This window comes from Homo sapiens, chromosome 6, assembly GCF_000001405.40.
Source record: "Homo sapiens chromosome 6, GRCh38.p14 Primary Assembly".
Lineage (NCBI taxonomy): Eukaryota > Metazoa > Chordata > Mammalia > Primates > Hominidae > Homo > Homo sapiens.
Genome location: NC_000006.12, coordinates 92,699,389 through 92,724,890, shown reverse-complemented (window position 1 = coordinate 92,724,890; position 25,502 = coordinate 92,699,389). Strand labels below are relative to the sequence as shown.

Genomic DNA, 25,502 nt, shown 5'->3' with positions numbered 1-25,502 from the left:
GTTCGGAGTTGCTTCCTTCTGGTGGGTTTGTGGTCTCGCTGGCTTCAGGAGTGAAGCTGCAGACCTTTGCGGTGAGTGTTACAGCTCCTAAGGCAGCACGTGTGGAGTTGTTTGTTTCTCCCCTCCAGAGTTGTTCATTCCTCCCTGTGGGTTCATGGTCTCGCTGGCCTCAGGAGTGAAGCTGCAGACCTTTGCGGTGAGTGTTACAGCTCATAAAAGCAGTGCAAACCCAAAGGGTGAGCAGCAGCAAGATTTATTGCAAAGAGCAAAAGAACAAAGCTTCCACGCTGTGGAAGGCGACGCGGCAGGTTGCCAGTGCTGGCTTGGGCAGCCCGCCTTTATTCCCTTATCTGACCCCATCCACATCCTGCTGATTGGCCCACTTTACAGAGAGCTGATTGGTCCATTTCACAGAGAGCTGATTGGTCTGTTTTGACAGGGTGCTGATTGGTGCGTTTACAATCCCTGAGCTAGACACAGAGCACTGATTGGTGTATTTACAATCCTTTAGCTAGAAGTAAAAGTTCTCCAAGTCCCTACTAGATTAACTAGACACAGAGCACTGATTGGTGCATTTACAAACATTGAGCTAGACACAGGGTGCTGATTGGTGCATTTACAAACCTTGAGCTAGACACAGAGTGCTGATTGGTGTATTTATAATCCCTTAGCTAGACGTAAATGTTCTCCAAGTCCCCACTAGATTAGCTAGACACAGAGCACTGATTGGTATATTTACAAACCTTGAGCTAGACACAGGGTGCTGATGGGTGCATTTACAATCCTCTAGCTAGACATAAAAGTTCTCTAAGTCCCCACCGGATTAGCTAGACACAGAGCACTGATTGGTGCATTTACAAACCCCAAGCTAGACACAGAGTGCTGATTGGTGCATTTACAATCCTTCAGCTAGACATAAAAGTTCCCCAAGTCCCCACCTGGACTCAGGAGCCCAGCTGGCTTCGCCTAGTGGATGCCGCGCCCAGGGGTGGAGCTGCCTGCCAGTCCCGCGCCATGCGCATGCACTCCTCAGCCCTTAGGCGGATGGGACCGGTTGCTGCGGCACAGGGGCGGTGCCCTTCAGGGAGGCGCGCAGGAGCCCATCTTGGGGGAGCTGGAGCATGGCGGGCTGCAGGTCCCAGCCCTACCCCATGGGGAGGCGGCTGAGGCCCAGCGAGAATTCGAGCACTGCGCACGAGGGACGGCAGTGCTGGGGGACCGGGCGCCCCCTCCGCAGCTGCTGGCCTGGGTGCTAAGCCCCTCACTGCCCGGGGCTGGCGGCGACGGAGGGCGGCTCCGAGTGAGTGCGGGGCGCGGAGCCCCACGCCCACCCGGAACTCACGCTGGCCCGCGAACGCTGCGCGCAGCCCCAGTTCCCGCCTGCGTCTCTGCCTCCACACCTCCACGTAAGCAGAGGGGGCCAGCTCCAACCTTGGCCAGCCCAGAGAGGGGCGTCCCACAGTGCAGCGGCGGGCTGAAGGGCTCCTCAAGCCTGACCAGAGCGGACGCCGAGGCCGAGGAGGCGCTGAGAAGGAGCGAGGGCCGCCAGCACGTTGTCACCTCTCAAGAGTAAGTGAAAAAGTTTGAAAATTATAATTGTTACGAAAGCAGAGCTGTTGAAAACCGTGTAAGTCTATGTCTGTATTCTTCAGAGCCACATTGTATTTGTATTTAGTAGAGAGAATATCAAAGGGGAATGAGATCCCCTTTTTTCTTCTTGTGAGTAGTCACCATTATAATGATAGCTAACAGACTACTATCTTTCACATGTTAAGAATCTAATAAGCATTTTTTAATCGAAAGGTTCAGAACGACTACAGCCTTGACATTAACCCTGGAAATCAGATTCTGTGCTAAAATGGGGGTGACCAAGGAACAGATGTACAAGGTACAACACTCCCCTTAAACTAACCACTTCACTCTCCCAAAGCAACGTGTTTCTGTGTGAAAATTGAGTTAACTTTCATGAAGCCATATGGTGGTTGTGGCAGGCAGAACAAAGGCCTCCCCAAAGATATAATTGTTTCAATACCTGGAATCTGTAAATACATGTGTTACATGACAAGGGGAAATCAAGGTTAGCAATCTGATGACCTTAAAATAAGATTATTGTTGCTTATTTGGGTGGGCTAAAGGGTTCTTACAAATGGAGGAGGGAGGCAAGAGAGTCAAGTGTCAGTTTTGCAATGTGAGAAACATCCCACTGTCCATTACTGGGTTGAAAGATGGAGGAAGTGAACCCTGAGTCAAGAAATGGGCGAAGCCTTTGGAAGCAAGGAAGTACAAGGAAATGGATTCTTCTTCAGAAAGGAATGCAGCACTGCAAACCCTAAGTTTAGCTCAGTGAGACCCATGTCAGACTTCTGATTTCCAGAACTGTAAGATAATATGTGTAGTTTTAAGCCACTAAATTTGAAGTAATTTGTTACAGCAGCTATAGGAAACTAATACAGTAGGTAATAAGAATAGAATGACTTAGGTGTTTCTTTTTTCCCCACTATGATTTCTTTCTTAAGAGATTCTCTTAAGTATTTTGCAGTAGCCTTTTTACCAGTGATTCACTTGACAGCAAGAAAATGTTTTACAGCATAGATTGTCTGCTAAACAACCTAATCAAAATATTATTAAACAATTACACTGCAGTAGGCTGTTTAATGAAGTGTTTTCAGTGTGGTTTGAGCACTAATAGCAACAATGTTAAGCTGTTTTGTGCTCTGTGTATCAAAGAGCTTGTAGTAATGTGAGTTGACTAAGAGCCAAATAAATCCTGAAGCATCTTTGACAGACAATATACTTGTGCCAGTCTAAATTTTGTCAGGTATTATTATTGTGCATGAAAAGGAAAAATATAAGACTATCAAGAGCTTTCATATACAGTATATCATGTTAAAATCCCTGATAACTAGGTACTTTCCAGGCTTCCTTCCGTCAGATTTTTATGACTATTGGCTTCATCTGAATTTGAATCTGAGTATAAATTTAAAAGTACATAATCAAAAATTAAGCCAACTACTCTTGAACTGCCATCTGCATCAGTACCTAACATGGAAGCAGTGGTATCCATAGTGGATTTCAGAAAGTCTTTTGAAATGGAGGAAAGAAAATATAACATGATTGATAGGTAAATATAAAGAAAATGAATAAAAGTACACCTGAAGATATGGCTACAGTGTGCTTTCACTGGCTTTCAAGTGAGTACTTTCCATTTAGCCAATTACATTTTCTTTCTTCTGGTGGTATTCTTTTGTGAAGAGTTCCAAGTCAGAAAGCCTTACTGTTTTATTGTGTTAATCAAAAAGACGAAATATTAATTTAAGAATAATCATAATACTAGACACTATTGATAGTCAAAGAGAAATGAAGGAAGGGGGATGAACCGAAAGTTCATGCAAATAGTTTGAAATTATGAAGGAAAATTCTCTCAAGTCCAGTTCTTTTTGGGTTTTCCTTTATGGACAAGAAAATAAATTAGAATTGCTACCCTGGAAACAAAACAAAACAAAATCTTTTCTGAATGAAAGATACTTTTTAAAAAGTTATACTTTAAATTCTGGGATACATGTGCAGAACGTGCAGGTTTGTTACATAGGTATACACATGCCATGGTAGTTTGCTGCACCCAACAACCCGTCATCTACATTAGGTATCTTTCCTAATGCTATCCCTCCCCTAGCCTCACTCCCCAACAGGCCCTGATATGTGGTGTTCCCCTCCCTTTGTCCATGTGTTATCATTGTTCACTTCCCATTAATGAGTGAGAACATGCAGTGTTTGGTTTTCTGTTCCTTTGTTAGTTTTCTGAGAATGATGGTTTCCAGCTTCATACATGTCCCTGAAAAGGACACGAACTCATCCTTTTTTATGGCTGCATAGTATTCCATGGTGTATATGTGCCATGTTTTCTTTATCCAGTCTGTCACTGATGGGCATTTGGGTTGGTTCTGAGTCTTTGCTATTGTGAGTAGTGCTGCAGTAAACATATGTGTGCATGTGTCTTTATAGTAGAATGATATAATCCTTTGGGTATATACCCAGTAATGGGATTGCTGTGTCAAATGGTGTCTCTGGTTCTAGATTCTTGAGGAATCGTCACACTGTTTTCCACAATGGTTGAACTAATTTACACTCCCACCAACAGTGTAAAAGCATTCCTATTTCTCTACATCCTCTCCAGCATCTGTTGTTTCCTGACTTTTTAATGATCGCCATTCTAACTGGTGTGAGATGGTATCTCATTGTGGTTTTGATTTGCATTTCTCTAATGACCGGTCATAATGAGCTTTTTTTCATATGTTTTTGGCCACATAAATATCTTCCTTTGAGAAGTGTCTGTTCATATCCTTTGCCCACTTTTTGATGGGGTTGTTTGATTTTTTCTTGTAAATTTGTTTAAGTTCCTTGCAGATTCTGGATATTTTTCTTGTAATGTGTTTTAAAGGCAGTGCCTTCTTAAGGAGATGAAAACTGAGGGGAATGCTTTGGAGAAGATAATTGGATAATACACTTCAAAAAATTAAAACTTATCCTATTCATGACTTTGCACACTGTATAGGTGTGAGCTTTAACAAGCTCTCCTGTTGTATGTCACGACCTCACTTGGGCCCCTCTTAAGAAATCTGTGTAAATCTAACATTTGTTGCATTCACTGGTTCCCTAACAGGGCAGCAGCCTGCCACTCCCTTTCATTGCAATTTATCTGCTATGTTTAAAAACAAAACAAAACAAAAATCAACAACAAGGAAATTACTGCTTGGAGTTCTGTCAGTTCTCTCTGTTTAGCCCTTCTTGTTCTCTCTCTTATGAGATATTAGCGCCCTCTCAGCTGCTCTCAGTGCATTCATCGTCTCCTATCATTGTCTCTGTTTCTACTTCCATCATTTGTCATCTTAATGCTGAGGTATTTTGACAAGTGGGATGAACTCTGATTAACTGATTATCAGAAGTGGACGAGAGAAGTTGAGGGCACTGGATGACACACTATTTCATATTTTACTCTCATCCAATTCATATCTATCAAGCAGATTGTAGAGTGTTATTACTCAGCATTCTCCAAATTGGGTTATTTTCCCTAATAGTATCAGTTCTGCTGATGTTTCTCTAAGTCTAGATGGTATTGAGAAACTAGCCTCAATTGTTAATGTGTAAGATCTTTCTGTTTTCAAACTATTGGAGAAAATTTTTGTTTGTTTTTCAAATTAGATGGCAAAATATTCCTAAAATCCTCATGTCTGTCAGGCTCAACTTTACTTTTTAAAGTAAATGTTAAACTGAATTCAATAACAATTTTTGGCAACTTATTTTAATAATGGAGATGCTATTAGAAGAATCACAGATTATTCATTTATGCCTTTGATGTTTTGCAGAGAAAAAAACACAGCTTATTACTAAATGTGGGATTCAAGATATCTGTCTAAATATATGTAGTAGTTTAATCTTTCCAGAAGAAAATCAAATGAAACCAGCAAATTTCATTTTAAATGAATAATAAACAAATGTATATTATTGCATCTTACCAGATGCTGAGGTCTGAGATATTTTCTTGGGGTTTAAAAATATTTACTATTGCTCTAAGGGATTCAATGTTTAAAAGTTCTTAAAATATATAATTTAAAACATAATTAGGGAATTCCAAAAACCAAATGTTTGTTTTATGTCTATATTAACTAAATAAAATTAAGAATTGATAGAACATACTGACTTTAAACACCCCCCTTCCCATAATTTGTGATATTATTTCCTAAAGTTTGTTTACACTTTCCTTATATGCTTGTTCTCTCAAAGTTCCAATGTTCCAGCTTTGTTTTCTTACTCTCTCATTTTTAGTTTGTATGCATACCATTTCCATGTTACATTAATAGTATTGATGCTTTGGTGATGGTGGAACTAAAAGATAGTATGTATTTTGTAATTACTTTAAAAGGTTTTACTAGGCAAGTACCTAATTGTTTAGCTAAAATAAATGTTATTGCTTTCTTATAAGTTAGTTGGGCCTGAGGTCAGCTGCACAAACTCTGAGTTTTTTTTTTTTTTTGAGACAGAGTCTAGCTCTTGTCTCCCAGGCTGGAGTGCAGTGGCGCAATCTCGGCTCACTGCAAGCTCCGCCTCCCAGGTTCATGCCATTCTCCTGCCTCAGCCTCCTGGGTATCTGGGACTACAGGCGCCTGCCACCACGCCTGGCTAATTTTTTGTATTTTTTTAGTAGAGACAGGCTTTCACACCGTGTTAGCCAGGATGGTCTCGATCTCCTGACCTCGTGATCTGCCTACCTCGGCCTCCCAAAGTGCTGGGATTACAGGCGTGAGCCACCGCGCCCGGCCAACTGTGACTGTTTTTTTTAATGAACCTTTACATTCTCAAAACACATGCAGCATAATTTATTCTTAAAAGCTATAAGCCCACAACTAGTATGCTGCTGTTCGAACATCTGATATCTTCCAAAAATTGTATTCTGTGTTAAAACCGTGATTATAAGCATTCATTATTTTAAAATGCCAATGGCAATGACTGTAAACTACAAAGGAGATGAAGGCAAAGTTCTTTTCAAGTTTTGAAATATGCGTCTGTTATTGCATGTTGATAATTTATGCTCAAGCAAAGGTGCTATTGAAATAGCATGACTATAGTATAGTATGGGTTTTCAAGCGCAAACATAAATTGTAGCATTTTATTTTTTAAAAATAGGAATTTTGGCCAGGTGTGTGGCTCACTCTTACAATCCCAGCACTTTGAGGGTCCAAGGCGAGTAGATCACTTGAGCCCTGGAGTTCAAGACCAGCCTGGTCAAAATGGTGAAACCCTGTCTCTATGAATAAAAAAATTGAAAAAAATTAGCCAGGTGTGGTGGTGCACACCTGTAGTCCCAGCTACTCAGGAGACAGATGTGGGAGGATCACATGAGCCTGCAGATGTGGAGGCTGCAGTGAGCCATGATCTCGCACTCCAGCCTGGGCAACAGAGTGAGATCATTTCCAAAAAAAAAATAAATAAATGAAATAAATATGTATTTATTTTTCATAGTTTGGTTTTGAGAAACCTTGATTTTAATAAAGAGAGAAATGAATGTTTAATCAATGCCATGATGAATTTGTATGGTAATATTTATTGGTTTTCCAGTTGTCTTAGAAAGTTTGTGAACTTTGTGACTTGTATGACCAAACACAATTTTTATAATGTACAGGTACTTTTTGTAAAGTGGCTAAAATGTTACGACTCTATGCTACCTGAGTAGCGTTTCTATGCAAAGAAAAAGGTGATACCTCAGTGAAATTACTCAGGGTTAGAACTGAAGTTTAGCAATATCTCCCACATAGATTGGAATTCAGTGGTTTTTGTTTAATTTATGATGTTTAAGAATTTTTAAAGTCTTCTGTGAACTTTAAAAAATTTTAAAGCTTTCGTTAAATTATGAATCTAGACTAAACGGTGAGAAATTTCTTTGCACTTTGCCATACTGATCTTACATGAGGTAAGAATAGTTGGTCTTGTGGTATATTTATTTACTTCAATGACAATTAGAAGCAAGACCCCAGAAAGGTGTTTTCCTAAAACACATGTATAAAAGTTCATAGCATATTTAAGAAAACATATTTAGTGTGTATTAAGTCATTGGTTGCTTCTTTCAGTGCCACCAACTCCTTGGAACAGTATAGTAAGACCCAGATTCAGAAAAGTAAGATCTCTTTGTTCTTAAAATTATTTTAGAGTTTAAATCTGTGTCCATGGTTTTTTTAAATGGACTATCCACATTTTCTATTTCAAATGTGGCAATGTTTATGTTTATCTTTATTATTCATTCATGTTTATATATTATTTAATATTAATATTATTATTAGAACATTATATTCAAAGAGTTATTCTTGTGGTCTCTTTTATCATATTCAGAAGCTTGCAGATATAACTACCAACTCAGAGTTCCTGGTTTTCTCTTTCCATAAATATCCCATAGGCTATTAGATGTCGCAGAGCGTCAGCTTCATCCCCTAATTTGCAGATGAGGCAGCCAAGTCTGGAGATGATAATTTGCTGGCCCCACATTACGTGGCTGGTGAGTGACAGACCTGGGACAGAGCCAGGACTGGAACTCCAGTATCTTAACAAGGAGTCTTTTTCTGCACAGTGTTTCTCCTCCTGAAACCGAGTTCCTCTGTAAGGGAAACCTGTTTCCAGGGTCTTCAATTTTATGCTAGTTTTTTATATTAAAAATGTGTTTTTCCAAATATAGAGTTATTGACCTCACATACTTCCTTGATATTGGTACTCCAGTAGACTTCATGAGTTTTCCTGGGAGTCTACATTTGATTCTCTTTGTGACTAAATTCACACTCTTTTTAACTTGTCTGGGAATGGTGGTGTGGCTATTCCTACAAAATCAATTGACTAATATTGGCTGAGTTGAAATTAATGTAACAAAATTGGCCTCTTTGTGTGTGTATGTATATGCACGACACGGGCCTTGCCTCTGCTTCCTCTTTTACTTGCCATGGAGACAATCTCCTTATCTCCACCTTGAACCTGTATTTGTAAAAGAATATAAAAACAAGCAAGTCCATTTTCACACCAGGATGTATGGGTAAAAACACAAAATAAGTGACCCATTCAGGAGTTATTTGCATTTTACAAGGAATTCAGAATTACTAGGAAGTACTGTAATCTGGAATGAGAGTTTGTGAAAGAGTCTCCATCTACTACTGCCCAAGGCATGCTCTCTGTAAATAACTGCTTGGGACACTGCCAGAAGAGACAAAATCTCTGAATACTCTAACTTAGTCTCCAGCTGAGCTCTGGTAGACTGCAACATGGAAGAAAGGAAGCAAGTTTGAAATAATAGCAATTTTTGAAAGAAAAAAATTCACATGCCTTTTGATTAGTTTATTTTTTGAGGTATATCTAAAACCAGAACTTTCTGAAAGCTGATTTTTGAACAATTTTTGTTGGCATTATTTATATTTTCTCAGAGGAACTACAATTCTTTCAAAATTTAGAAAAGTAAATGTATTAACTCTACAGACAATCTCAAAAGTATTTTATATGGATTTGTAGCATTGGGCAACAATACTAGGGTTTATTTTTAGAATTCCATGAAATTCCTTATATTTTAATTGTTTAATTGTTGGAGGAAGGGTACAAATATGGCCCTACTCCTTCATATATACTCTTTCTAGATTAAAAAATTATTGAGACTAGTTACACAGAAATTTCTGTTTCATATATATATATATATATATATATATGGAAATGCTCTGTGTGTGTGTATATATATATATATATATACACACACACACACACAATTTCCTTGTGTAGGAAGAACCAACAACTTGAAATAATTGAAATTACAAGTCATCTTGGTCAATGCTTAGAAAGAGATGATGGTAGTTGGTCGTCTATGTATTTTGAACCAGAGCTTTTAAAGCCTCAAACGACTGAAAGAGAATAGAAAACACGTTTTTAGATTACAAACTCAAGACAGTTACCATGGGAAGTTTCCACAGTTTACATTAGCTCTATCAAAAGAATGAGAAAGACGTTAATAAAATGAAAAAAAAGTAGATAAAGAAGTAGGAAGAGAAAGATAAATAGAATAAAGAGAAGAATACATCTTTTGTGTATTTTTAAATATTTTAATTGTAAACTTAACTCTCCCTTTAAGCTGGAATGTCTGTATTCTATAGCTTTATATTCTGTTTTGTCATGGAGGAAAATAAAATGAGTAAGGGTAATTCTGAAAATAAATACAGAAATACGTGACTATGTTTCTTTAAAATAACTAATGCAAAAAGTCTTTGCCCTATTTTGGGGTAAGATGTAACAGTGCTGATGTTAGTACAGATTACCTTGCATCATGGAATATGTATAGAGAGGGTGCAGGGAGTCTTCCTCTGAGGTAAATTTCTGAATGGCTAATTTTTTTTTTTACTTCACTAACTTGGTTGAAACTTTGGATACAAAATTCAGCGAAGAAATAAATGAATATAAACCATCAGAAACTGCAGTTAAAGTCACATATTTAAATAAATAAAAATAAGCTTTTCTGGAAAGATTTAAAAATAGGAAAATAATGTTTTATGAAAGTAAATTAGCTAGGGGATTTTTCTTCAAAAGGCTAGCGGATTTTATTCAATTATATGTGGATTTTTTTAAAACCCCTCCCCTTTTTGCATGCTCTAAAATGACTTCCCTAATTATCACCCAGCAATCAACAAGTATTGGTTGTGTGACCATTTGCCAGGAGAAGTTGATGATATTAATGATGATGACCATGCCTAATAAGAAATCAGCACTTAGCATGTACCAGGCATGCTGTTCAGTGCTTTGCTGAAGTGCTTTCTACAATAACCATCTGGATTATGTACTATAATCATTCTCATTTTACAGATAAAAGTTTCAGGGTCAGAGAAGTAAAGTGCTTCACTCATTGTTACACAGCTACTAAGCACATGGTCTACATTTGAAGTGAAGCAGATTTCTCCTAAATTTGTGAAGTGACAGCATTTTTAAAACTAAAGAAACTGTGATGAAATTCCATGATTTGGAATCTAATCCTGAACAGGTTATGTACTAAAAATCGGTGAGAATTTGAGTAAATTTACTTTATGTAGTTGCACCTCAGTTTTTAAAAATCTGTAATTATGTGTTTAGAATTAACCATTTTCTGTGTTACTTCTGATCAGAATAATATTGTTGCTAAAGAAAATTAGGGATACAGAAATGGTATTTCTAAATGCATTAGCAGAAAAAAAGAGATAAGCCATTTCCTGAAATACAGAATTACTTTTTTTTTTTTTTTTCGAGACGGAGTCTCGCTCTGTTGCCCAGGCTGGAGTGCAGTGGCGTGATCTCGGCTCACATAGAATTACTTTATTTGATATTTTTTGATATATTTGTACGTTAGAGTACATCCCCAAATGTGTAAATCCATAAATTCTAAGAATTTCTGTATATTGACTTGTATATTTTTGATTGAGTTCCTTATAATGTAGTATAATAAAATACTGTAACGATGAATAATTACCACCAACACTGCAGAGTCAGTGGTAAATTCAACTTTCTAAAAATGCTTAAATTAACTTGGATAATAAGGCTACTATGAAATTAGAATCTTATTTGGGACTTATAAATCTTGTTATATCCCTAACTTATATAGTGAAAATTTGTTTTAGTCTGAGAAAGTTAGAGCTGAATGTTTAAAAAATGTATTCTGCTACAAAATCAAAACATCTCAATTTTGTATCTTTCTAGGTATCTATCTGCTCTTAGCATAAAACTTTAGCAACATTTAATTTGTAAACCTCTTGGAAAAACCACAGGTTTTCTTAATGAATTTATAGATTTTCTTTCTCAACTCTCTCTGGAATCACACAGCCTATTAATCTTAGGTGATTTTAGTGTCCATATTGACAACGTTGAAGATGGGTTTGGCATAAATGTAATTTCCCTCTTTAATTCTCTTGGCTTCACGTGGCCCATCTGTCAGATCACTCTATCATAGAGGGGACAGACCATTTCCAACATCACCATCTATTCCCCCTAGTTGTGCTCTTTTGCAACTAAGGTTTTACCCAGTACTCTTCATGATCCCTTTTTTTTAAGGCACTTTATTTCATCATTGAAATGTCACTTATGTTTATTTCTTTAGTACCAAATATTGAATATTAATTTCATTTCAGAATAATCTATTTTTCACGTTGACATTTTAGTCCAAAATAATTGTAGATTACCTGTCACATCCACCCCTGATTTGTCAATTATAATTCCCCTTGTGCATTCTATTAATAGTAGGGATGCAGTATTTCTCCAGTATCCTTTTGCTTTGAGAAAAAAATAACTGAGGCCATCTTTGATACTATAGTCATTTATGTAACTATGTACTTTAAATTTTTATTTTCTTTTTTCTACCCTGGCCAGATAATGAAAACATTTTGTTGGCAGACATTATACTATTAGAAATTTGCCATTTCAACTTTCTAATAAAATAAAAATGTGCTGAATGTGTCTTTTCTATTTTGTTTATCCTACAACTGTCAGGAGAATGGAAACATGTTATTTTTTATTATATTATATTGTTTCTACATAAGTAAATTCTTTTATATCCTTTCACTAAGTTGATGTTTATGTGTAACTTTATTTGCAACCTATTATTGGCTTATAAGCATAAGTAACTTTTAGTGGTTCTGTTAAATATCTACAATAAAAGAAGTATATGTGGATGAGAACATGATTTATTGGATGACTAACACTCATTTTCTGGAAAAAAAAATAGTCCTGATACTGATGTGAGTTAATCAACAGTGTAGAATGTACCCTAAAACTTAAAGTATAATAATAATAAAATTAAAAAAAAGAAACAAATAAATAACAAATAAATAAATTCTACTTCTGAAAAAAAAAAGAATTTATTTCTGTCCTCTAAGTACATAGGGAACAATAGTTGCTCATCATTATTAAGTTAGTAACTTATCCCAATTTTAAATTCCCTTAATTAACATGTTTAGCCACCATTTTGCCTTCACTATTTTACATATTTCAAAAAATTTATTATTTTTCATTTTTAATATTTTAGAGAAAGGATATCATTCTGTTATCTCAGCTAGAGTGCAGTGGTGTGAACATAGCTTACTGTAGCCTCAATCTCTTGGGCTCAAGTGATCTTCCTGCTTTAGCCTCCCAAGTAGCTTGGACTACATATGCACACCACTATTCCCAGCTATTTTTTTTTTTTAGAGATGGGGTCTGGCTGTGTTGCCCAGGCTCTTGGCTTAAAGCAATCCTCCTGCTTTGGCCTCCCAAAATGTGGGATTATATTAATATGTTTGAGCAACCATGCCTAGAATATTTATCTCATTAAGATTCACAGTAAAAATAATAAATATCCTAAGTCACATTCCTTAAAGTCATCTAAATATTACAAGTAGAAAATTCAGGATATTCAAGTTCAAAGCTTGCTTTTCCTACCAATGCAGTTTCACAGTAATACTATGGAGACACTTGATTTTTATTTGGTATGAAGTATTAAATCATTTATATTATTTGAATAATGGGATAATACTTTCTATTTATGTAGAATCATTTTCCCCAGGAGACTTCAGAACAAATATCTAATGTTTTCTCATTTATCTTTACAATAATTCATTGATGTTAGGAACTTATTTTTATTATCTCCATTGATTGGGAAACATAGTACCTATTATTACTAATATTATGTACAGAAATAGAATGACTAACTTTACATAAGCAGGTCTCCAGGACTGCAACTGAGGCATTCTGGTGATTATAATTAACTGAGAATATAAAATATGTGTATTAGTCAGAGTTTCCAGAGAAACATTACCAATAGTATATATGTACAGTCATGCTTTGTATTTGCAAAAGAAATCCATGATTGGTTGAATCTGAAGAGGCAGAACCTATGGATATGGAGGACCATATTAAAAAAACAGACTTTTTTCTCATTAATGTTCCTCAAATAATACAGTATAACAATGATTTTAATAGCATTTACATTTGTATTAGGTGTTATAAGTAATCTAGTGGTGATTTAAAATGCATGGGTGTTTGTACATAGGCTATGTGCAAATACTATGCCATTTATATGAGGGACTTCAGCATCTGCAACTTGTACTGGGAGTCGGGGTTTCTGGAGCCAATCCCTCACGGCTACCTGCACACACACACACACACACACACGTGCGCACATGCATGCGTACATGCACGTGTGTGCATGTGGATAGATAAATAGACAGACAGATAGACAGATTGATACATAGCAATAATCCAGATAGAGACTCTGGTAGCTTGGATCTAGATTGTAGTGGTACAGGTAGTGGTAGAGAGAGATAAAGAGAGACAGAAAGAGAGAGATTTCTTTTAAGAAACCAGGTTATAAAATTGTGGGAGTGGGCAAGTTCAAATCTGAAGGGAAGGCTAGCAGGGTGGAAATTCAAGTATGGATTGATGATTCAGTTTTGAGACTGAATTTTGCAGGGCAGCAGGCTGAAAATTCAGGCACAGTTTCTATGTTGCAGTCTTGAGAATTCCTTCTTTGAGCAACCTTGGTCCTTGTCCTAAGGCCTTCGACTGATGGGATGCGACTCACTGATGTTATGCAGAATAATCTGCTTTACTCAAAGTCCATTGATTTTAAAAATTAATCACATTGAAAAAATATTTTCTCAGCCACATCTAGACTTTTTCGAAAAAGCAACAAACATTTTTGGTGTTTAACAGAACTAATGGGTACCAGGGACCAGTAAGATGCCATTTAAAATTACCCATCACATCTTGATATATTATAGATTATTCTAAACCTGGTGACATGTCTGGTATGTTCAGAAGGTATATATGAATAACTGGACAATGTTCTTGCAATGTCTGTAGTTGTATGTCTCTTTACATTTATGCTGTATTAGTTTGGATTTATGGTCAAAATGCATGTGTGTTTTGGGAAGGTGTGAGTTCTAGTTAATCTAATCAGAATATGTGATTGCCATTTTCTCAGCTCCAGTCATTTAATTTATAGTTTTTGATAACTAGGTATTGTGCTAATCACAGGAAAAATCGTGTTTAGCAAAATGGATACAATCCTGCACTCTTGGACCTTGCTGCTCAAGGTGCATTCAAATTTAGTGGTTAGTTATATAAATATCCCTATGACTCACTTCTAGAAATCTTTTTGAAGATTGGTCGCATTCTAGGCCCCAAGACTGTGAAGTGTTTAGGTATGACCAGTGTTTAATATCTTAATCTATTTATAAATTATTAAAAAGCTCTGAGAGCCGAATACATGTGTTTAACAAATAATTAAATTTTGTGTATCATAGTTATGATCCTCTTTAATCATCAGAGTTGCTTCATATTATTAAATGTTTTAACCAAGGAAATTAGTGACAAAGCCTCCTTCCTGATGTTTTTTATTTGTGTATCTTCTTCTGTGTGTTAGGCCTAAGTTATCTGGTTCTTGAAACATATAACAAGCCTTGCTCATTTACTACTGAAACAAGGGGACTTCAGAAAGTTCATGGAAACATGAAATTAAAGGATAAAAATAAAATAATATTCATTTTATTTCTCCATATAAGCTTCATCAAGTTCAAGAGATTTTTGTAAGTAATGATATCAGACATTTAGTTCTTCCCTAAAGAACTGAGGATCCTGGGAATTTAATCATGAAATGCATTTTTTTATATTATTAACATGATATAAAAGAAGAAACATGGCACCATTTACAGACTTTTAAAGATTAGGAAACAAAAAGTCAGAAGGAGCCAAATCAGGACCAAAGGGTGAATGCCTAATGATTTCCCATTGAAACTCTCCAAAAATTGTTCTTGCTTGATGCAAGGAATGAACAGCAGCATTGTTGTGGTGAAGACAGACATTTTGGTGAAGGTTTTCCAGGTGTTATTCTGCAAAAGCTTTCGCTAACTTTCTCTAAACATTCTCATAATAAACAGATGTTATAATTCTTTGGTCCTCCGGAATGCCAAACCAGTGTGCCCAGATCAAAATCCCTTGAATACAACGAAAAACTGTTGTCATGACCTTTATTCTTGACTGGTCCACTTTTGCTTTAACTGGACCACTTTCTACTCTTGGTAGTCATTGCTTTGATTGTGCTTTTTCTTCAGGATCATACTGGTAAAGCCATGTTTCATCTCCTGTTACAATTCTTCCAAGAAATGTTTCAGGACCTTGATTCCACTTGTTTACAATTTTCATTAAAAGCTCTTCTCTTGTCTGCAGCTGATCTGAGCACACTGGTTTGGCATGCATGGAATAGAATGTTTGCTTAACTTTAATTTTTCAGTCAGAATTGTGTAAGCTGAACCAGTTGAGATGTCTATGGTGTTGGCTATAATTTTTGCTGTTAATTATTAGCCCTCTTCATTTAGGGCGTGAAAAAGATTATTTTTTTTCTCACAAATTGATGTGAATGGTCTGCCATCATGGATTTCACCTTCAACAGCATCTTGCCTCTTCTTAAAATGATTTATCCATTAGTAAACTGCTGATTTGTTTGGGGCATTGTCTCCTTAAACTTTTCATAAAGCATCAGTGATTTCACTATTCCTCCATCCAGGCTTTACCATAAATTTGAGGTTTGTTCTTCCTTCAATTTTAGCAGAATTCATGTTGCTCTGATAGTGGCTCTTTTCAAAGTGATGTCTTACCCTTTTTAGGGCCTCAAACTAGATCCTATTCAGACAATTTATAAGTTTATATGGGTTTATTTTGGTGCAAAAATATTTTGAAATTTATGAATCATTTTTTCATATAAATATCTTGCATGAATATTTTGAATACCTTTTATATCCCTGGGTTTTTTCTGCATTCTCTCTGTCTCATTGCTGCACTGACCACAGAAAAGCACTAGGCTTGACTGCTATTGTTGCATTAACTGTCCTGACCCTAACTTTCCTCAGCTACTGTATGTTTCTGTGCTGCACCATTTAGTGATGAGTTCATTTTCTTTTGTGTGCCCTACTTGCTTTGATTTGAGTGGTTTTCGGGTATGCACTTGGGTCAGGTTTCAAGCATGTAGTCCTCTTTGGAATATCAGCACCAAGTCATCATAAAATCACTCAATGGTTGCATTTCCTTTTCTGTATACTACCCATACTATGAAGCCCAGGTATTTTCCAATGAATTATAATAAAAGTCTTCCTAGGGTTACATCTTTTCAGAATAACTGGCATTTGCAGAGTATAGATCTCTGGTACTCGTGACCAGGCTAGTGTGCATCTTGATACGAAGTTGCTTCTGTGTTTTAGACCCAAAGTGATAGCTTTCATGTGGAGAACATTTTTATTGGTACACGTGCCTCAGAACACAAGCTAACAATGGATAATTCTGTGCATTGTCTTTCACTGTTACCTTTTCAAACTTTATTCACAGTTAAGATAGGTACAGAATATATAATTGATAAAAGGATAGTGCTGGTTGTGGTCACATCAAATGGCAACCAAGAGGATGGATTTTCATTAATGTTGGAGGAAAACTAGGTAATCAATACATGAAAAGGTGCTCAGCATCATTAGTCATTAAGAAATTAAATCCACAATCAGAAGCACAATGTTACACAACTTCCCACATCCACTAGGATGGCTATAATCAACAAGATGAGAATGTGCAGAAATGGAAACCTGCATGCATCACTGGTGAAAATGCAAAATGGGCAGCCACTTTGGGAAACAGTCTGGCAGTTCTTCAGAAGGTTAAAGAGAGTTTCCATTTGATTCTGCAGTTCCACTTATAAGTATATACCCGAAAGAAATATGCAAACATGTCCACAAAAACTTATACACATATGTTCTTAGCAGCATCTTTCAAAAAAGTTAAAAAATAGAATAATTCAAATGTCTGTCAACTGATGGATGGATAAATAAAATATAGTATGTCCATATAATGGACTATAGTAGTGCCCCCTTGTCTGTGGGGGATAGCTTCTAACACTCCCACTGGATACCCGAAACTCCAAATAGCACTGAACTCAATATGTAATACGATTTTTCCTATACATATCTACCTATAATACAGTTTATTAATTAGGCAAGGTAAGCAGTAACAACAGTAACTAGTAATAAAGTAGAACAATTGTAGCAATATATCTGCATCACTACTCTTGCACTCTAGGGTCATTCTTGAGTAAAATAAGAGATAGTTGAACACAAGCACTGCAATACCATGACAGACAGTTGACCTGGTGAGACAGCTGCTAAGTGACTAATGGGCAAGGAGTGTCTATGGCATGGATATGCTGGATGAAAGGATGATTCATGTTCATGGCAGAATGGAGTGTGATGGTGTGATATTTCCTCATGCCACTCAGAAGTGTACACAATTTAAAACTTATGAATTTCTTTATTTTTGGAATTTTCATTTTAATATTTTCATACTGAGGTTGACATTAGGCAACTGAAACCATAAGAAGCAAAATCTTGGATAAGAGAGGAAAAGTGTATTGTTCAGCAATAAAAGCAATGTAGTACTGATACCTGGTACAACATGGGTGGCTCTTGAAAACATTATGCTTAGTGAAATAAATTACTTAACAAAAGATTAGTCATTATATGATCCCATTTATATGAACTATTTATAAAAGGCAAATATATAGAGACAGAAAGTACATTAGTGTTTGTCCAGGGAGTAAGGAGAGGGGGAATAGAGAGTGACCATTCATGGATATGGGACTTCTTTTTGTGGTGATACACATGCTCTAAAATTGACTGTGGTGATGTTTGCATAACTCTATAAATTTCCTCAAAACAATGGAATTGTACATTTTAAATGGGTGAATTGCATGGGATGCAAATTATATCTTAATAAAACTGTTCTAAAAACAGATATTAACAATAGCATATTTTCATTTCTTTCCAGATCTTGTGATATTGTCATATATTTTACTTATGCATGTTATATACTCCATATTTTTCAGTGAAAGAAGCAAAAATAGATGTTATATGTGTAAACTGATTTAATTTTATTGACCACCCATCTCTTGCCACCCATTATAAACTTTACGCAAACACATAGTTTTTTAAAATAACCTTTTAGTTGATTCTTCTTTCTTTTTTCTATCATTGGAATCCAAATATTCATGAAACTATTTTGTGGGCATTAATCAGATGCTAAATATTGTGATAGTGCTGGTGACACAGTTATTTGTATCTTTGAGGAGAGTAGGCTGGCGATTGAAAACCAGATTACATAACTAATAGAGCTGGAAGTATATTACGGAGACAGAATTGAACAAAGCCTAGGAGGGCCTCCTTTTCTACTCTCAATTTCTGTGCTTGATAATGTAATGCTTGGGCAAATCACTCAAAGTCTATTGGCTTTCAAATATCTTTAGACCTTAAATCTTTAGTAATTTTACATTGATACCTTTCTACTCCTGATAACTTGAATGATGTTTATTCTTGAGTCACGTATACAATTGTATTTTTCTTCTTCACGATTGACTTTTGGACATTACCAAATATTACCATGTAAGAAAATTTCTATCTACATTTAATTTTAGCAATGGGTGTGTACATAGACATATTTGAACTCTGTCTTCAAATCGTATTGCAAATTCATCAATCATTGTCCATTTTCACTGCCAACACTATTATGTATTGTCTACAAAGAATGGCAACAATGATGAAAACATTACTTATCTTCGTTATTCCGCTAGCCACACATGGTCATTGAGAACTTGAAATGTGATTAATGTGCCTGAGATTTTGAATTTCAAATTTGATTTGATTTTAATGTACTTAAATTTAAATTTGAATGACTTCATATATATTGTACAGAGCAGGCCTAAAGCTCACTGTTTGTACTCTGGAATCTCTACCAGGCCATTGTTTCCATCACAGGTGTCAAAACATTTTTTTCTCAGTGATAGATTAAATTACATCTATCTTTTATAAAATGCTACCATGTCTTCACATTGCATGTTGATCTGGCCATTGTTTATGTCTTTAAACTCATCCCATACCACTTCTCTCGTCTCTGTTCCAGCCACTTTAGATTTTATCTATTTCTCAACCATGCTATGATCACTTCACTCTCAGGCATTTTCTCCTGCCTGAAATGCTCAACTCATAATAACGTGCCCATTTTTCTTTTAATTTAGATCTTATCTGAAATATCCATTTTGAAGAGATACCTATCCATTTTAAAGAGATACCTGATTATTGAATCAATGGAACCTTCTCCCTCACCAGTTTTTACAATAGTAACCTGTTTGTTTTGTTCATGGCATATATCACTATTCGAGGTTACTTATGTTTAATGTCTATCTCCCTCACTAGAATACAAGCAGCAGAGAACTTTTATATGTTTTTCATTCCTGTGTCTCCAACATCAAGGGTGACATCTTGGTATCAATGAAGAACATATAGCTGGCTTTATTCTGAATTACTAAGTCATGTTTTTGTAGTTGACATTGCTCATTTTGATTTCCAGCTAACACTGGAAAGATTAAGCATGAATTCCTAAGACTTGCACAATTAAACCTCAAAGGATAGTACCATTTTTAGTTAAATTGATCATATCCTTTTTTAGTCTCCATTCTTTCTAAATGCAGCTACAAATCTGAGTATGATAGCCTTTAATCCATAAAGACAACAAAGCAAAAATAAAGTTTGAAACTTTCAAATTATATCCAAAACAAATTCTACATATAGTGATACACTGTTGCCTTGTGACAGTGATTGGTCAGTAGGATGATTTCTTCCTTACTTCTATCATTTGAGTTGTATTTTTTTCTCATTCATTTATAGTGATGAGAGTGACTTGAATATTTAAAGTGGCTTCTAGGGAATCAAAAATGTAACCGTAGATCTTAAACTTTGCAGAATTGTTAGTTGTATTGTTTAAATTAGACAAATATCTTTTCATGGAAAGTTTTGAAGAAAATTAAGGAGACTAGTTGAGACCCTCCAATCGGAAACATAGATTTAGGGTAGGTTCTTGGCAGATGTTTCTACGTTCATCAGACCATGTGGCCAGCACTAGCTACTTGTCACATCATCATCATCATCATCATCATCAGCATCGCTGCCACCATTGAACATTGATGAAGTATGTATTGTGAGGAAGGCATTGTGGTAGTGCTTTAAAATTTGTATGCAAATTAAGTAGTTGTTGACCACCCATTATATAGCCTTGTGATCCCAAGCTCCATAAAAAATGGTTATCCCAGGCTCCATTAAAACAGTCTATAAACGAATCAAAATTCAACACATAATAATTTTTGACATTTTTCAAATGTCAAAAAAGTAACTCAGAAAAAAGTAACTATGACTATGAGTAATCTCATTAATATAATTTTTAAAGCTTCAGGCATTGTAATGTATAATGGTTAAGAACTTGGATTCCTGAATAAAAATGCTCTTGTTCAAATCCTTACGAATGGGGTTTCAAGGCAAGTTATTCAATTTCTCTAAGGCATGATTTTGCATCTGTAAAATGGGGATAATAATGTAATCTATGTTATAGAATTTTTTTAGCCAAGATGAATTGAGATGCTATAAATATAAAATTATTGTATCTGGCTCAAAATATATGCTTAATAAATATTGGTGGTTTCTTCCATTGTTTTTAATTTTTTCTCCATGATGCAAATATTAGAGGAAAAACCCCATCACTTTATTCAACAAAAGTCAAATACATTACAGGAGATAATACACATGTGACTGTACGTGACTGGTGGTTAATAGTTGGTTAACATTTGCTAAATCAGTTAGACAAAATATTGTGTCAGACAATGTTTGATGCACAACAGGTATTATGTTTTGTAAATTAATATAGAAAAAATAATAATCTTTCAGGAAATAATGACTTCTGTTATAATATTAACTTCTGCTCTTCAGATTCTCAGTGATAAATGATATGATAATTATAATATTCTGATTTTGGCTTTCTCAGAAGCATGATATGAGATTCAAGAAGAAAAAATTAAAACACTGTTAAAAACATAGCTAATGGCATAGCATTAATATTTTGAATTATTATTCTTAGTTTTCCTCTAGTGCCACAAAATAACATAATCATTTATCCGTAATGGTACTTAATGAAATTTGACTTCATTTTGTACATCCTATTTTGTAGTACAAGTAAAAATGTATTTCTTATAACTCTCAAGATTTGATACGGAAGTTATAGATCCTCCCATACCTGAATCAAAATTGCTTAGCTTCCTAAAATTATAACTTCCTGATGGACAGAGTAAGAAATTACTCTGTGAGGAACATATCTGTATTTTTACCAAATCTACAAAGGAACAGTCCATTGTGTTATTCAGTGAAATTCTACATTATATATACTTTAAAAACACCTATATAAATGTCTATTTCCTTAGAGGAGCTTACAGGGTTTCTTTACAAGTCAAAAGCTCAACACATCCCCTCCTATTTTTCACAAACCTTAGGTACTTGGAGAGTGATATGGACTGAATTGTGCCTTCATTCCCCCAAATTTGTAGGTTGAAGCTGTAACCCAAAATGTGACTATATTTGAAAACTGAGTTTTTAGGGAGTTAATTAAGTTAAATGAGGTCATATAAGTGGTTGCTAATCTCACAGATCTGCTCTCTATGAGACAAGAAAGAGTCATGGAGCTCTCTGTCTCTCCAAGTGCACACAGAAGAAAGGCCATGTGAGGGCATAGCTAGATGGCAGCTAGTTATAAGCCAGCAAGAGTGGCCTCACCGGGAGCCATCCTGGCCGACACCTTGATGTGGGGCCTCTATCCTCCAGAACTATGAGGACTTTTCTACAATAAGCCATCCAGCCTATGGTTATTTTGTTACGGCAGGTTGAGCTAACTAAGAGGGTTAAGGAGTGTTAAATGGAATTTAGATTCCATCTCCAGTTCTTGGCACCATCATTTCTTCTTTCTAAATGTGCTCTATCACAGTTTACTTTTACGTATTTTTAAAAAATGTTCTTTTAAATAAATGTTTGCATGGCATAAGTCACATAGTAGGGGTAGGTAGAAAATCTAGTGTATCCCTGAGTCTTCATTTTCTTTTCTGTAGGAGTAATTACAGTTCTCACATTATAGGGTGTTTGTGAGATGAGATAATCAGATAAAGCACTTAGTGTCTGGGACATAGTAAATATTATACTATGTTGGTATTTTAGCTATTGTTATTTGGTAAAAATAATTTATAGTTACCTCAAAACATCATTATTACTAATTTCTGTGATTTTATTTACAATGTAAAGGTATGTTATTGAAAAAAATCTATCTTGGATTTTTTTGTTTGTTTCCCTTTTGTTTGATTTTTTTTTCTTTTTTTTTACCATAAAACTCCTCTTGTGAATATATTAGTGTAGACAATGCCGTCCCTCTCCCAAATACACACTTGTGATGGTGGTGGCAGCCAATCTGGAGCAACCGCTGAAATGACAACAGCTGTAGTGGGAGAGGTATGGCTGGGGCTGCATGCTCTGCAGAGCCTGCAGGGGCTGGGAACAGGTGATCCCCAGCGACAGCCCCACGCCCTATTGAGTTGGCAGGGTTGGAGCCCATGGTCATGGGCCCAGCTGCAGCCACCCAACCATGACTGCAGACCCAGACATCCCTGCACTCTTGGGGCCCCAGGAGCCCCCCTGCCCCTGAAGGCTCAGCAGTGCCTGCTCCTGTTCACTGGCCTCTCCCTGCTTCCAGTGCCTGCTCCAGTGCGGAGCAAAGTTGTGGCCAAGTCTGGACACTGTCGCAACCTGGTCAGGTATGCACACTCTTGGGGTGGTGCTGACACACCAGATCCCCACTGACTCACCCCCGTCTGGACTTTGGGTGCCAATGAGTGCAGGAGGGATGGCGGAGGGGCTGAGGACAGCTTGGCACAGGCCTGTGGGCGCACCCTTCAGCACATACAGCCTGGGCACTGCAGGCCTGCCCATGGCTGCGTGTGTACCAGTTAGCATACACTTTCTCCATTCTGTGCATATAAAAACCCTAGAGTTAGCCAGACTCAGACACTTGTTGGGACGGCCTACCTGCGGAAAGAAACTACTCACTTTGGGTCTCGTGAGAACTGTTCTGTCACTCAATAAAGCTCCTCTCCGCCTTCCTCACCCTCCACTTGTCTGCATAACCTCATTCTTCCTGGATGTGGGACCAGAACTCAGGACCTTCTGAATGGTGGGAGCAAAAGAAGCTGTAACACGTTCCTGGCCTGCTTGCTAAGCTGTGGCCAGTGACATGCTCCCAGACTTTAGGAGTGAAGAGTGGTGATCCTGGGGGTCCAGACCTCGGGATTCCTCCAGCCAGAGCTGCTATAACACTATAGCCCTCCTGCCCTCTGCCAGCAGTGTTGGGTGGCTGCCCAATGCAATAGGAAGCAGCAGCAGGGCTGGACCAGCCAAGGAGCTTCCAGCCAGAGTTGGGTGTTGGGATTGAGAAAGCTGTAACTCAAATGGGCTGAAACACCCCCTGCCCTCAAACACACCCCTCCACTTGCTGCCCTATGGGCAATGAGGAGAGAAGAACTGTGGCCTCTCTGGGAGCCCAGACCTCAGGGCTCCCTGAACCAGGGCTGTGACATGCTGTAACACCCTCTTTGGGGCTATGTGGCTCCTGGTGTCTCTGAGATTTCGGGCACCAACACATTCTCCTCATCTAAAGGCTGGTGTCCGAAGTGGAAGTTGCTTGCGTACATCTGTTCCAGCCACAGCCTTGCACAAAGCTGACACCTGTGCCAGTGCCTGGAGCTACCTGTCTCACCACAGCAGCCAGTGTGCCTGGCTGTATGCAGTATCTGGACCCCTGTGCTCAGTCGCTCACACACCCCTCGCTGTTCCACGCCTGGCTTGCCCTTGGCAGGTGTGGGATCCAGGGTAGTAATGTGAGCTGATCACAGCCTGCTGGACCAAGTGGGCGGGACGAGCCCAGTGGGCACGAACAAAATTCAAACAGAGGTATTGCTGGCCACAGAGGTTTCTGGCTGGCGTAGCAACACCCTAAGGATCCCGTGACATTTCCACACAAACACACATATACACTTAATAATGCTTGATAGGAAAGATAAAATACCTTTATCAGATATCTAGATTTGAAACCCATCTGTGCTATTTAGTAACTTTGTGACCTTGAATTCCTTAATTTCTTGGTTTTAGACTTTTGGTGTATAAAATAGAGATAATATTACTTACTTTTTGGGAAGATTAAACAAATTAATGCATATAATACAGTTCAAATAATGCCCAATACATAACAAATATCATAAACATTAGTTATTTGCAGGTAAAAGTTATTATATATCCTTATATACCTGGCTTTGGAAAGCATTCAGTTAATATACTTCACACTAAATCTCATTAAACTTAGTGAGTAATGCACTATTTTAAAAGGTGGCAGTTCTCTTTTGCAGGAGTTACTGATTAAATGTGTTTTATTTATGAAACAAAGAGAAAAAGAATAATTTTATTCTAATGCATATCTGTGATACTACCAACTTATAATATTTGCTAATGAATTATTCCAGAATAATGGAGGAAAATATACAGCAAGAGCCTTGGTATTTGCCAACCTCTTAGGGAAAGCAATTTGAGTTCTTTATATTCTGTGTGAATATTCAGGATAAGGGCATGGGGTAGGCCTTTGCTTTACTAGCACCATTTGAGACTCTGGTAAACGAATTTTCTAAAAGTGATCTATGTTAGCCCTCCTTGATTAAGTTAAATGAATTCCAGTCATCCCTCTGGCCTTAATGTTACTTACTGAAAGAAGAGTGACCTAATGATCATAGTGAATTGGGTTTAATTGCACTTATTACAGTTTGTATGTAATTTGCAATTATTTAGTGGTTTTTATTGTTGCTATTGCTATTGTTGCTTAGAGCAATTTAAGGAACAGTCTCTGCCATGTGAAATGACATAAAATTGTACAGATATTATTTTCTATCCTGAAGTGTGAATAGTGGGAGGTAGTAAAAGATGGGGAAAAGGGTCACTGAATAGTAAGTAAGAAGAAGCAAATTGATTGGCAGAAAACTTAGCTCTGTTGAGATTGCC

At 36.9% G+C, this 25,502-nt stretch overlaps 1 long non-coding RNA gene across 1 annotated transcript in view, besides 1 other annotated feature; it reads left to right on the top strand.

The window, feature by feature from the left end:
* The first annotated feature begins 1,064 nt into the window (after positions 1 to 1,064).
* Positions 1,065 to 25,502, top strand: part of LINC02531 (long intergenic non-protein coding RNA 2531) — a 138,833-nt gene continuing 114,395 nt past the window's right edge. Inside the window, exon 1 of the long non-coding RNA NR_189297.1 lies at positions 1,065 to 1,569. This is a non-coding gene — a long non-coding RNA (long intergenic non-protein coding RNA 2531). The remainder of the gene's footprint in view (positions 1,570 to 25,502) is intronic.
* Positions 22,574 to 23,122: an enhancer, noted in NCBI's record as "H3K4me1 hESC enhancer chr6:93411487-93412035 (GRCh37/hg19 assembly coordinates)". NCBI's record gives its function as "activates a minimal SCP1, AML or CMV promoter by ChIP-STARR-seq in naive H9 embryonic stem cells {active_cell/tissue: H9 hESC(naive)}" and the evidence as "EXISTENCE:reporter gene assay evidence [ECO:0000049][PMID:30033119]".